The sequence below is a fragment of the Homo sapiens genome, chromosome X (assembly GCF_000001405.40).
Source record: "Homo sapiens chromosome X, GRCh38.p14 Primary Assembly".
Classification (NCBI taxonomy): Eukaryota; Metazoa; Chordata; class Mammalia; order Primates; family Hominidae; genus Homo; species Homo sapiens.
Window position 1 is genome coordinate 12,892,017 of NC_000023.11, and position 14,356 is coordinate 12,906,372.

The following is a 14,356-nucleotide window of genomic DNA, read 5'->3' on the forward strand; positions in this document are numbered from 1 at the left end:
GAAGGAGGGTTAAAAAGAGAATAAGTCCCAAACTCATAAGATGGTGTGGAAAGGGCCCTGGTGACATAGGGGCCACCCATGCCAGTGAGAATGAAATCACAACAGGGCAGTTTCACACTGTTTCAGGTTTTTATTTTTTCTTCTTCTTCTTTCCCTCCTTTCTTCTTTTGCCTCCCCCTCCCTCTCGGTTTCCTTTTTGGCTCTAGACACCCACAGCAAGTGTCAAGCAATGTACAAGAATGAAAAGAAGACAGCCGTTGTTGCAGGTGGATGCTTCTGTTTGGAAGGTGTGGTTTTGTGTGCACTTTTGGTTGGAAACCTATGTCTCTCTCACACACATGTCCCCCACCTGCTTCAGTGAGCATGATCTTCTAAAATTGGCTCCATGGAATCTTCCCTAGGTGACACTGGCTGGACTCTGACACATTCAAATTCATTCTTTCTACTTATCTCAACTTTCAAGCACTAATTCAGTCTTTAAGATTCCCCTAATCTCAGGTTGTAATTCATTTCTAACATGTTTGTCATGACATCAGTGGTTGCATGTCTTCATATGTTTATCACTGCCCCCTCTTGGGAATTTATATTAATTAAACATTTTGGAAAAGCTCAGACTTAAAATGACTGAGAAGGTTCATGTTACAGTGTCTCACACTGAACACTCACTAAAAATAGTCTGGTAAAATCCAGAAGGAAATGGGAAGTCCTGGGGGCCTCATGGCAGTTTTCAGACTTCCCTAGAGCAAAGATGAGCCAGACAGCGGCTCCCACAAACAGAAAATGGCTCTCAATATTCTTCTGGCCAGTGGCAACTACTGAGGGTAAAACTAGACAGAGACGGCTAACTAGGAAGCCATATTGCTCTTGTATGACACATGGCTGCTTTACTTCTCACTGGCCAAGGCAAAACCATGAGGCATTGATTCCAGGGGATTTCATAACAGTGAATTGCATGAGTTGACTTGAGCAAAAGAAGTTTGTAGTAACATCTCCATGAACCATATCTGAGGCCCATTATCCAGGGGGACCACACTGCTGAGAAGATTGCTTGGGCTGTTTTGGGAGCCAGAACTAGGTTGTTGTCCTGCTATCACCCTGGGATGGTGGTTACATCCCTGCACCAGGTCCAGATGGAGGCCCACCAAACAGAACTTAGTAACAGGTGACATGCATTAAATAAAACAGTTTATAGCTCCCATCTCTCTTCTGGGCCTACTTTTCTCATGATTGATTTCTTTGCCTTTGGATTGAGGCATTGTAACTAAAATTCCCAGTTAATTTACAACGTTCCAAGGGTTGTTTCAACACATCACTCCTGTCCATTAACACATTGTGATGGATTAATTTGTGAGATGATCAACTCTCCAGAACAGGCCACCTAAGAAAACAGAACACAGGAAGCATGTTCTGAATGGAGAAGATGCATTTTAAAGTAATCCCAACTTTGGCTCCTGCTCATGAGGGCAGGCCCACAAAGGGAATGACAGGCAAGGAGGGAGTGAGGAGGATCTTAGGAAGAAGGGCTCAAGATGAAGTCACTGGTATCCCGACAATGTCATTCAGTAAGGGGTGGAGGGGAAGGAGGAAGGGAAGTCACATCTATTAAGCAGCAAATGCAAATTAAATGCTTCCTTTATTCCCTTGAATCTTCACATCACCTCTATGAGGCTAGTATTAGCAGCTCCATCTTAAAGATGATGGGTTAACTCAGAGATAAAGGTGAGATCAGAGAGGCAAAGTCAACTGCTCAATCTCTGGGACCCAGGAGTCCGCATCCCTGGAATACTTTTGAAGCAACTGGCTTGCAGAGCAGTTTGGGAAGCACCACATCTTCCTTTGTGACACCAGGGACTGTTATTACAGGGATCACTTTAGTAAGGAAAGCCCAGACCCCCAAGCTGTGCTCAATTTCCTTCCTTTTGTGTATAAACTTTGGTGCTCTCAACCTACTTCCCGGGAGTGGAGCTGCACTTAAACTCAAATTGCTTCCCGCTGGGCACTGTTTTTGGACAGGTATAATTTAACTATATAGGACTGGCATTTCTGTTTAGGGCCCAAAGGTGAAGACAATTTGAACAAGAACACTAGGGCAGAATTAGATAGACAGGGGCAGGTGGTTAATGGAATTGAAGTCTCGTAAGTCCTGATAGAGTTGCTGATTACATTTGTGGGTAAAAGGATGTCTTTACCGTAACTTCCATAACATCTTACTGATAGACGCTGTGGTTCTACTTATGTGGCGCCAAGCGCCACCTAGTGGGGTGGGAAATCCCTCCTGGATGCTGATGTTCTGCTTCTGAGACCCTTAGACGGGCTTCCAAAGGGGGATGTGGGAAGAAAATGTAAGAACAGATATAGTCATGTTTTTAAAAGTATGTCTGTGGCTATTTTTATCATATACCCAGTGTATTAATACAGAAATATGTAGGGCTGTGTGTTGAATGTTTACTGATGGGAGGGCAGTTTACAAAGAAGTTGAAGGCCACAGACTATTGAATATTTGTTTCTATCATTTATTTCCATTGTTTTTGCTTTAAGTCTCAAAATGGGGCCAGTCATGAATTTCCTTTTGCCCATGCAGATGTAGATGTATAGCCTTGAGTTAACTGGGTGACCGATCCTCTTTTTCCTACATTTCCATTTTTTATAGACTGTGGCCCCCATTTTAAAACTGTATTTGAGTATCAGTAATCTTTCTTGCACATTCTAGCTGAACATTCTCTCTCTCTCATATTTCCGAGCAATCCAACCACTAACCATTCCCTTCTGTCACCACCCCCCGCCCTATAAATAGCATTTTGAAGCATGCAGTAACTTGCCAGTTTGAGGATTTAGGTCTTTTTCATCCTGCTTGCCTACTTGACTGTCAGTTCATGAAGACAGTTGGTGAACAGGCATGATGCTTGGGTGTTTCACGCCCGTTAATTAAGTCAAAGATGATGGGGCGCTTACTTGCTAAGATATATATACATGTACACACCTACCTATGTATTCTGTATGCACATATATATAGCTGTCCATATATGTTTGTGTATATGCACACATATACATGCAAGCATGTATATATTTGTGTGTATTAGAATTACTGATAATTAGAATTACTGAATTACTGATGGCCATGTTTTGCATAGATTAATTGTAAACCTAAGTAAGATAAACCATAAAAAGTACTCAGCACAGGGTCTGACATCTATCAAACACTCCATAAATAACTTTTTAAATTCTTTTTATTACTTTTTAAATTCTTTTTATTACTTTTTAAATTCTTTTTATTGCTTTGGATATCTAATCAAGTATATAATCTTTTTTTTTTTTTTTTTTTTGAGACAGAGTCTCACTCTGTCACCCAGGCTGGAGTGCAATGGTGCGATCTCAGCTCACTGCAACCTCCACCTCCGAGTTCAAGCGATTCTCCTGCCTCAGCCTCTCCAGTAGCTGGGACTACAGGCACACACCACCACACCTGGCTAGTTTTTGTATTTTTAGTAGAGACGGGGTTTTGCCATGTTGGCCAGGCTGTTCTCGAACTCCTGACCTCAGGTGATCCACCTGCCTCAGCCCCCCAAAATGCTGGGATTATAGGCATGAGTCACCGCGCCTGGCTAATCAATTACATAATCTCAAGAGGCTAATTCTATATTCTTCATACAGTGAAAATTTTTAACATTTTTCTTTTAGTATACAGTATCTGGGAAATTTTTTCTACTCATCACTTACTCTGTACATAAAGTTTATGTTCAACATTTCATGTACTATATTCATACATTATTTAACAATTTTTTTAATTTAAAGGGTGACACTCAACGTATTGCTTTTCCATTTGTTACATATTCTCAATCAAAATTCGTTTTCTCTAGATTTAAATCCATCAAAATTTCCAGAAATGTCCCAGATACCCAGACGTCCTGTAGGCTTTAAATATAATTTTTCATCTTCAATAATCTTCTATTTACCATAAGAATGCTGACCACTTCCTGCTTGTAGCTTATCTGAGGAAAGTCCCTTTTAGTTGATCCAAGTTCCCAGATTTCCCCAATTCTGCTTTTTCCTGTGATCCCACAAGAAGTTCCAAAAGTATGAAGTAGCGCCAAATGTTAACTTGCATAAAACCCTGTGATGATACTTGTAAGCATCAGCATTGAGTTCTTCCTGTTCCTACCCACCCCTACTCCTGATTTCCTCCTGACTCTGGGTATAATTGGTGTTCTCCATGGTCACATGTGAGTTTAAATTCTTCCAGATGTTTTGATAAAACTTCATTTTAAAAGCCATGTTGAAGGAGACCATAGCAGAGTTTGTATGCAAAGGTATGGAGTGGTTTCTTCTGAGAATGGGCCCAGCAGGGCTTACCTGCCTATAAGAGGCACTGGTCTCCAAAGTTGTGCCAAGTCTAGCCTTCGTGAAATTCACCTGGGAATTTAGAATCCCAGTTGGAATGCTTGATGTTTAGGTGTTTCATGCCTGCTAATTAAGTCAAAGACGTTGGGGTGCTTACTTGCTGAGATATATATATATATATATATATATATATATATATATATATATATATATATGTACACATCCACATATATATTCTGTATACCCACATATATACCTGTCCATGTAAGTTTGTGTGTATATGCATACATATACATGCAAGTGTGTATATATTTTGTGTGTGTGTGTGTGTGAGAATTACCGATAAGCTCATAGCCATGCTTTGTATAGATTAGTTATAAAACTAAGTGTTCAGAATTGTTGGGGCTTGAGGGAGCTGGTTACTCACACCCTCTCCAGCTGAGCAATTCACACTGCAGACAGTGCAGCTGAGAGTGAGCAGGTGCATGAATTCCATAGGCCATAGCTTGGACTTGCACTCTTGCAACTCTCCAGTGCCTCCCGGTAGCAAAGAAGAAACGCAAGCCATCAATCCAGAACAAAGGATCCCTGTCACAGAGAGCTCACCTTAGGGCAGCAGAAACAAACAGAGGGTGCACTCCACCTATAGGAAGGCTGTCCCAAGAGAACAAGAGCCAGGAGACTTGAGGCAGCAGCAGCAGGGACAGTTTCCCCACTGTCACCAATCCCACAAGTCACTCTGTCTCTTGTGAGAAGCATAGGAAGGAGGAAAGGGGAAGAGGGACAAGTCCCCACCCTTCCGTATTTCAGGGGTTGATTTCGAAATGTAGGGAGAAGAGAAAAGTTCCTCTAAAGTACCATCCTGAAGCTAATAAATGAATAAATTCTCAACCAGATTGTCTACACTGAGGAGACGGGTCTGTAAAACATGGTGCCGTGCTTGGACTCATGACATGAAAAAGACTCTTCCCTGCAGAGCAGAGACCAAAGCTTGCAGGTTTCCCCTCATTATGAATCTACTGTACAGAAGATAGACAGAGTCCCTACCTTCATGGGGCTAAAGATATAATTTCCAAGACTTGGCCGGGTGTGGTGGCTCACACCTGCAATCCCAGCACTTTGGGAGGCCAAGGCAGATGGATCATCTAAGGTCAGGAGTTCGAGACCAGCCTGGCCTCGGTGAAATCCCTAAACATACAAAAAATTAGCCGGACGTGGTGGCTCATGCCTGTAGTCCCAGCTACTCAGAAGGCTGAGGCACAAGAATTGCTTGAACCCAGGAGATGGAGGTTGCAGTGAGCCGAGGTTGTGCCACTGCACTCCAGCCTGGGTGACAGAGCAAGACTTCATCTCAAAAAAAAAAAAAAAGAAAGAATTTCCAAGACTCATTATTATTGATTGGGTTCTACAATTTCCCCTAGGCATTTCTGAAATGGTATAGAATATAGCTATGAAATTTGTATTCTGCATTACATAGATGTAATATTCAGAAACTGTTGATTGCATTCATCCATCCATCTATCCATCCATCCATCCATCCATCCATCCATCCATCCATTCAGTCAGTCAGTCAATAAATATTTATGGTGTGGCCACCATGGGCCTGGCATGATGCTTAGGGTGAGGAGACACTGGCGAGCCAAAATAGAAATAGTCCCTGTTCTCCTGGAGCTTATTCAGAAATCCATTAATCAGATTATTGCACTGAAGGAGATTCAAGTGTGATGAAGGAAAGGAAGAGGTTTCTATAAGAGTGATGACTTGGAAAAGGGAGCGAAACCAGGGAGCAGGAGAGGCGGGCTGCCCTGAGGAAGGCCACCCAAGGTGAGATGTGAAAAATGAGTTAATTGAACCAGGCAACACTGAAAGATGACCATATTTGGGGGCGGGAGACAAAGAGTGTGTCTTAGTCATATGGCATTTGGGAGCCTTCGAATCACCAAGTGGATGGAGATGCTGAGTCAGTAGGTGCCCATAGTCTACAGAGCTCAAAGAATAGAGCTGAGCTGGAAAGATGCAGTTGAACACTCCTGTGGCAATGGGAGTAATGGACACCTTGGGCGGGGTCTTGCTACTCAAACCATGGTCCCTGGACCAGCAACATGGGCATCCCCTGGGAGTTCATTAGACATGCTGACTCTCAGGCTCCACCTCAGACCTGCTAAATCAGACACACAGGCAGAAGATGACCCTGTCCCATCAATGACAAGGTTTACAACCAGAGATTTTCAGGGTGAGGATAATACCACAATATCCCAGCAGTGAGTATATATTTATTGTGAGACAGTCTCAGTGATTTTTATTTTATTTTTTTAAGACAGCGTCTCACTCTGTCGCCTAGGTTGAACTGCAGTTGTGAGGTCTCAGCTCACTGCAGCCTTTGCCTCCTGAGCACAAGCAAACCTCCACCTCAGCCTCTCGCGTGTGCCCCCACACTTGGCGAGTTTTTTTAGTTTTTTTTGTAGAGACAAGGTCCAGGCTGGCCTCGAACTCCTGGGCTCAAGCAATCCTTTTTCACCTTGGCTTCTCAAAGTGCTAGGATTACAGGTGTGAGCCACTACACCTGGCCAGTCCTAGTGATTTAGGTATCAACTCCCCAACCTGTTACAGTGGCTCTTAACTTTGCCTGCACCTTGCAATTACCTGGGCAGCTTTAAAAAAAGACTATGTCTGGGTTCTACCATAAAGATTGTGATTTAATTGGTTTGGGCTACAGACTGAGCTTTGGGATTTTAAAGCTGGAGGGCGATTCCAACATGCAGGCAAAGTTGAGAACCACTGCTTCAGAGTCATTGCTTGATTGCAACAGATTCTCAAGCATGAGCAGGCATCAAAATCACCTGAGGGGCTAGTTAAAACAGATTGCTGGGCCCTACTTCTCAGCTTCTGATTCAGTAGGTCTGGAGTTGGAACCCGAGAATTTGCATCTCTTACAAGATAGGTCCAAGTGATGCTGGTCTTGCTCTATTGAGCGGTTGTCAAACTTGACTGGCTAATAGAGTCACCTATGGGTGCCTAGGCCTTGTGCTAGAGCCCCTGGATTAATAGATATGAAGGCAAAGTCCTGACATCTATGTTTTAAATAAAAACCCACCCAGATGATCCTGATGTAGATGACCTAAAGATGAACTTTTGCAAAACCCTGCTCTAGACACAATTTATATTTATAACCTTAAGCACTGAGATGACACTGGGAGGTGGAGTAATCTTCGAGAATGCCATCTCTTCTTTCTCTTTTCCTTCATCCCCATTCAAGCTGATCCTAAACTGTATGCATTGCCTCAGGGGGCACGTGCAGGGGAAGCAACCTAGTCGGCTTTTGTCTTCTACAGGAAGGCCCAAAGGCCTTAGGGGATCATAGAAGAGCCCGTGGAACAAAGCGACTCTAGGGCATCAACCAGGTGTCCAGGAAGAGAAGGGATAGGGCTGCTTTTCTGCCCCTTCTGGAGAAAGACGTGAAGAGGGAAGGGGAGGAAGGTAATATTAACAGATCAGGGAGGTCTGTCAGACCTGAGAAAAGTGGGACCCTGCCAACTCCACGTGAGAAATGATCAATCTTCCACAGAGTTGAGATGAAGGAGTTGAATTAAAAAATCAATTGTGTACCCCGCTTCCACACACCCCACTCTGGTTTGCCACTGCATCAGACTCAGAAGCTGTACCCAATCCCTGGCAGGCAAGGACTCCTGTGAAAGGAAAATACCTTGGGCCCCCAACATCGCTAAGCTAAAAGGAAAAGTCAAGCTGGAAACTGCTTAGGGCAAACCTGCCTCCCATTCTATTCAAAGTCATCCCTCTGCTCACTGAGATAGATGCATATTCTGATTGCCTCCTTTGGAAACGCTAATCAGAAACTCAAAGAATGCAACCGTTTGTTTCTCACCTACCTGTGACCTGGAAGCCCCCTCCCTGCTTCGAGTTGTCCCCCCTTTCTGGAAGAATCAATGTACTTCTTACAGAGATTGACTGATGTCTCATGTCTCCCAAAAATGTGTAAAACCAAGCTGTGCCCCAACCACCTTGGGCACATGTCGTCAGGACATCCTGAGGCTGTGTCACAAGCACGCGTCCTTAACTTTGTCAAATTAAACTTTCTAAATTAACTGAGACCTCTTTCAAATTTTCGGGGTTCACACTCCCCACTCCTCCGAGGGTCTGAGTTGATCTTCTGGAGAGTGAGGTAGGATGAAAGCTCAGAGACAAACACAGAATGGAGTCATAAAAAACAAACGTCTCTGCACATTTCAGTTGGTGGACTAAGTCACAGCAGATACATTAGACATATGTTTAACTATTTGAACATTTTTCACCTGGGTATATTTCTTGCATAATTGTATTTGTTTTGTTTTCAAAATTTAACTCAGTAAGTAGATTTAGAATATACATTGGGAATTCTGAGCTCGATTTTGTATCATTCATCAATTATAAAAGTGACCCCTCCCTAGCATAGAACGTAGTTAAAATCCTCTGTCTGTTCCAAAATGGGACGAGCAAAAGATCGTTTCATGTTTCCTTTTCTTACATCTTAAGCACTTTGGTGCCTATAGGGCAAACTATGAATCAAAGTTGTTTTTTATTTAGAAACTTGGATTTCCTTAACTGAAGATGCTCAAAAGCCTGCCGGGCGCGGTGGCTCACGCCTGTAATCCCAGCACTTTGGGAGGCTGAGGCGGGCGGATCACGAGGTCAGGAGATCGAGACCACGGTGAAACCCCGTCTCTACTAAAAATACAAAAAATTAGCTGGGCGTGGTGGCGGGCGCCTGTAGTCTCAGCTACTCGGGAGGCTGGGGCAGGCGAATGGCGTGAACCCGGGAGGCGGAGCTTGCGGTGAGCCGAGATCGCGCCACAGCACTCCAGCCTGGGCGACAGAGAGAGATTCTGTCTAAAAAAAAAAAAAAAAAAAAAAGCCTGAAGCAAAACTTTTAGACATGTGTACATTTCATAAACTTAATCCCAGCACTTTGGGAGGCTGAGGCAGGAGAATCGCTTGAGCCCAGGAGTTTGAGACCAGCCTGGGCAACATAGCAAGACCCCGTCTCTACAAAAAATAAAAAATTAGCTGGGCATGGTGTGTGCCTGTAGTCTCAGCTATTTGGGAAGCTGAGGCAGGAAGGTCACTTGAGCTGAGAATTTGAGGCTGCAGTGAGCCGCGATTGCACCACTGCACTCCAGCCTGGGTGAAAGAGCGACACACTGTTTAAAATATAAAATAAAATAAAATGAAAAAATAAAATTTTATACTGTACGTTGCCACACAAAAATTATTACCTACGAGTCTGATCAGGAAGCCCGAGATATTGGGTGGTGGGCGCCATCTTGTGGCAGCATGGTTATTAACATCTTGGCCATTGGCTGGATCTTCAAGCCAATGCTGACACGTGAAGGCGTTTCTGCAGTCCCTGAAAAAAGGTGCAGGTGCAGGAAGGAAGAAACAAAAATGCCTTTCTCGAATGCTAAAAGCACTGATTCTGGAGATAGGAAGACTTGCAAAAGAGAACTAGAAAAAAAGAGGAAATAAAACATATTGGGGGGAAGGGCAGAGGAGTCCTGAGACTGTGAGGAATCAAATGAAGATTCCATGGAGAAGTAGCCTGTATAACAGGAATGGCCCTTCTCAAATCTTCTCCATGCCAAGCCCCGGGCCTCAAATCTAGCAGGTTGTTCTTGTGCTTTTCCAACAGCCCTCATATATTTGAATCAATTATCCCCAACATCTTCCCACATATTTTCAGCATTTGGTACTGATCCCTCTACCAGATGCCCTGTCCCCAACAAGCAGCCTCGCCTCCTATATCTGCCCACCAATGGATGCGTCCTCAAATTCTGTCCTCTCTACATCAAACATGTTTTATGTCACCGACTTCATCATCATCATCTCACAAAACCCAGATTCTTTCCTCACAGAGCCTATCTGCATTCGTTCTCATTCCAAGGAGAGGTGGCCCTTCCCTTCCTAAATTGCAAGCCCACCCACCACTGCCCCTGGTTCATTCACTTTCCCTACTTGGGAAAGCGGCTCCATGAGGTTGACTCTGTCCGTTGCACATGTGACCACTCTTCTCCATCCTGCCGGCTTTTCCTCCTCACTTGAACACACTTCTTTTAAAATTATCTTCCCTCCAAAGATGTTTGTCGCAGCATTGTTTGTAATTTCAAAAAATTAGGACAAGCACAAATGCCAATCAATAGAGGATTCATTAAGCAAAATACCACATGCATAACCGGCTACAGAACACAGCCACTGAAAAAAAAGAACAAGACAGATCTGCATATCCAAACCAGAATGCTAGCTGGAAAAAAAAAATGATGCAGAATAGCACGTATCATGTGAACTCAGTTTTCAAAAAGAATTCTGTACGTAATTATATGTCAGTATATACATAGGAAAAATCTTGAAGAACATATACCAAACCATTAACAATGGTCAACTCTGAGGAGTGGAATTTGGAGAGCTTTCATCTGATGTGTTCTACATTCCTTTATTGGGATATTTAGGACCATGTAATAACATTATACTCAGAAAAATTTTATATACAAAAGAAACTTCCCTTAATTCTATCAATATCATCCTCTGTTTCCCTTTAATTTTCACCAACATCCATCCATCCATCCATCCATTCGTCCCCATCCATTTTCACCAACATCCATGTGTAAGACCAGGCTGGATGGATACAACAGCCCTTGGGCTCAAAACTTGTACAGTCTGGTGAATGTAACACGGAGCCACCAAAATGTCATCCAGCAGAGAAAGTGGCAAGTACGACAGAGCTTTCCGTTCAGATCCAAGCTTTGCTGCTGAATTTGGGTAAATGACTGAGCCTTTATGAGCCTGTTTCCTCCTCTGAAAATGGGGATTATAGTAACAAGCAGAGAGAACAGGAGTGGTGGGTGGGTAGCGCCTTAAGTAGGTGTTGGTGCAGAGGACTCCATCCCATCTGGGCCACAGACCATCAGGAGGCACGTGGGGACTTGGGGACAAAGAAAACAAGCAGCCCATATCTGCCGGCAGGACCTGGCAAAGTGGGCGTGACACCAACAAGTTGCATCCCAGAGGTGACCACAAAGCGCCCAGGATTTGCAAAGCTAAGGTCAAGTGGAGGCAGGAGGAGACAGTTTCAGGAAACACCTGTGGCCTATCTCACCCGTGTCTTCCCTGGCCAGGGAAGGGCAGCCGCTTAAAGGGGCCAAGGGAAGCTGCAGCGTGGCTCCTAAACATGGACGCACAGTAGCTGTCCTCTCAGGAGCTCTGCACCCCCACTTAAAACCAGGATCACAAGAGATTTGTGTAAAGGAAGCCTCTTGTGCATTTCTTCATCTGAATCGTTGACTTAAAAGTTTCTTCCACGTAAGTCCTTTCACTTTAGCTTTGTATATATTTAGCATTGATTTCACAACAAACAACTGATTCCAGGCACTTGGTGTTTTCCCAGACCTTGAGCTTTTTCCAGGGTTGCACGTTATTTCCATATGTGGTACTTCGCGGCAGCCCCAGTATGGGGAAGCCATTTGCTGCCTTATGAATTGTCTGGTCATCCACTCGAGAGGAAAGGGCTGTGTCCAGGGCTGGGGAAGGCCCCAAGAGTGGTTCTTCAGGCCTACTGTTGGCAACAGCCCAGGAATGTGTGAAGTCTGTAACAACAAGCGTAGTAATAATAATTCCAGCTCTGCTAGTTGAACGCTCACTTTGTGCCAGCTACTTTTCTAAGAGTTCCACGATATGAACAATTTAATCCTCAAAGCCAACATCTGAGAAAGATACTACTATTCTTATCCCAATTTGACAGATGAGAAAACTAAGGCTCAGAGAGGCTTGTCTGCTGGTGATTTGTGTGTCTGGGAAGTGCACGTTGTCTGGCAGGCTTGCCTGGCAGAAGCGGTTCATGACAGGTCTTCTCCATTTTGGAATCAAGATCTGTGTCAGCATGGATGGCAAGGGGAAGAGTAAGGAAAGATTGGTCTAGGAGATGCCCAGGAGCTTTTGGCCTCACAGTGCAGGGTGGGGAGAGCAGACCTGGCCACCAAGGACCAGTTTCTGGGCTTGGGCAGAAGCCAATCATCTGGCTACTTTACAAGCAGATGGAGCTTCTTCCTCTCAGTAACCTTCCTGCCCTGGTGTCAATTCCATTTTCATTTTCATCTTTTATGGTACTGGTTGTGTGGAGAAAACTGAAGGCTCATTTGGTATAAGTAAGTAACTCATTTTTATGAGTTTGCTTGACATAGATACTAGACTGTATGTGTGTATATATACATATAAACATGCATATGTACATAAAAAATATATATATATCATATATACATGATGATACACACACACACACACACACACACACACACACATATATATATATACGTATACAAGCATGCTTTACAAGGCCAATTGACTGGTCTACAATTGGCTGACACTTGGTGGCCTAGAAGCCAGGGTATGTGAGTCTCGCTTTTCTAGAAAGCTGACAAACTCTCCAGTTCCAAGGATCCTTGCTCAGTCAACGGCTGGAAGTCATTTTTACTTCGCTGTTTTTTGTTTGTTTGTTTGTTTGTTTTTTTAGACAAAGTCTCATTCTGTCACCCAGGCTAGAGTGCAGTGGCACTATCATGGCTCACTGCAATCTCCACCTCCTGGGCTCAAGCGATCCTCCCACCTCAGCCACCCGAGTAACTGGGACTACAGGTGCACACCACCATGCCTGGCTAATTTTTGTATTTTTTTAGAGACAAGGTTTTGCCATGTTGCCCGGGTTGGTCTCAAACCCCTGAGCACAAGTGATCCTCCTGCCTCGGCCTCTACAAAGTGCTGGAATTACAGGTGTGAGCCACTGCACTCGATCCATTCTTACTTACTTTCTTTACTTTATTTCCAAGCAAATGTTTGGAGGGAAACCAAGAGACTTGGATGCGGCCAGCCGAGGCCTTTGGGTTTACAATCACAAATGTTTTTGGTTTGCCCATGAAGGCCCAGGCTGCACTCTCTGATGTCACAGGAATCACCTCTCAAACCATGCACCAGGTCTTGAATTCCCTTAGGGTGTGATCTTTAGAGGTCCATCTAGGTATACCCACCCAAGCCATTCTTTGACTGCTGACAGGCCTTCCTTCATAACAAGGTGTTCCACAGTCCATTTATATATGGATGTCATCTCTGCCCACCCTGCTGCCAATTTGGTTTTCTCCCACTCCTGGGGTGTAAGGCAAGATGAAACATATCACATCCCGTTCTAAACTTTATTCTTGTGGCCAGGGGTCAGCAAACTTTTTCTGTAAAGGGCCAGATGGCAAATATCTTAGGTTTTACAGGCCAAGAAGCAAATTTGGCATATTATGTAGCTACTTATATAGTAAAATAAAAATTTCCACAATTATGTAATTGATGAAACTCAAAATGTAATAATAATAATCGAAGGCAGTTTTTTTGTAGTATAGGTTTAATAATGAGAAGAATGGAATCATTTTTGGAGGTGCTAACATTCTGCTTGGTTGGAATTTAAAGTTAGTGTTCTGTATCAGCAAATCCATTGCCAATGTTCATCTAAAAATGTTTTCACTTCTGGGCCGGATTTCGTTCAAAGGCTGCAGTTTGCTGACCTCTGCTCTTGGTTACACCTTTTGAGGCCCTTGCTCTCCGAGCATAAAATGGAATCCATTTATCAGACTAAATCGGGAAGATTAAATTTTCCAGCCTCACGAATGCTCAGCCATTGACTCACTCGTTCATACAATGAACACTCATTGAGCTTATACTACATGCCAGGTGCTGGAGGAGGCATGGGGCGCCCAGGAGAAAGATGCTCGCTTTGCGGCCACAGCCCAGTGGGAGGGAGACCCATACCTACCGGTGCTGTCTCAGAAACTTGTGGAACAAAGATGAAGCAATGTTCATGTTATTCGCCTACATCTGTGAATTACACAAGGAAGACGAGTTTGAGAAATCCGAAGTTCAGTACAAATTTATGGTAACTTTTTTAAAAAAGAATACACTGAAGTTTTCTTAGTGAATGGAATAATGTTCCCTTTTT

General features: G+C 43.7%; 1 long non-coding RNA gene across 1 annotated transcript in view, besides 2 other annotated features; it reads right to left on the reverse strand.

The window, feature by feature from the left end:
- Window positions 9,514-9,808: an enhancer, noted in NCBI's record as "tiled region #5588; K562 Activating DNase matched - State 12:CtcfO, and HepG2 Activating non-DNase unmatched - State 13:Ctcf". NCBI's record gives its function as "activates a minimal TATA promoter and a strong SV40 promoter by Sharpr-MPRA in K562 cells, with weaker activity in HepG2 cells {active_cell/tissue: K562 | HepG2}" and the evidence as "EXISTENCE:reporter gene assay evidence [ECO:0000049][PMID:27701403]".
- Window positions 9,709-9,768: an enhancer, noted in NCBI's record as "active region_29415". NCBI's record gives its function as "activates an Ori minimal core promoter by ATAC-STARR-seq in GM12878 lymphoblastoid cells {active_cell/tissue: GM12878}" and the evidence as "EXISTENCE:reporter gene assay evidence [ECO:0000049][PMID:35858748]".
- TLR8-AS1 (TLR8 antisense RNA 1) overlaps window positions 10,801-14,356 on the reverse strand; it is a 40,484-nt gene continuing 36,928 nt past the window's right edge. The window contains exons 4-5 of the long non-coding RNA NR_030727.1: window positions 14,174-14,235; window positions 10,801-11,969 (exon numbers count right to left, since the gene is read on the reverse strand). This is a non-coding gene — a long non-coding RNA (TLR8 antisense RNA 1). The remainder of the gene's footprint in view (window positions 11,970-14,173; window positions 14,236-14,356) is intronic.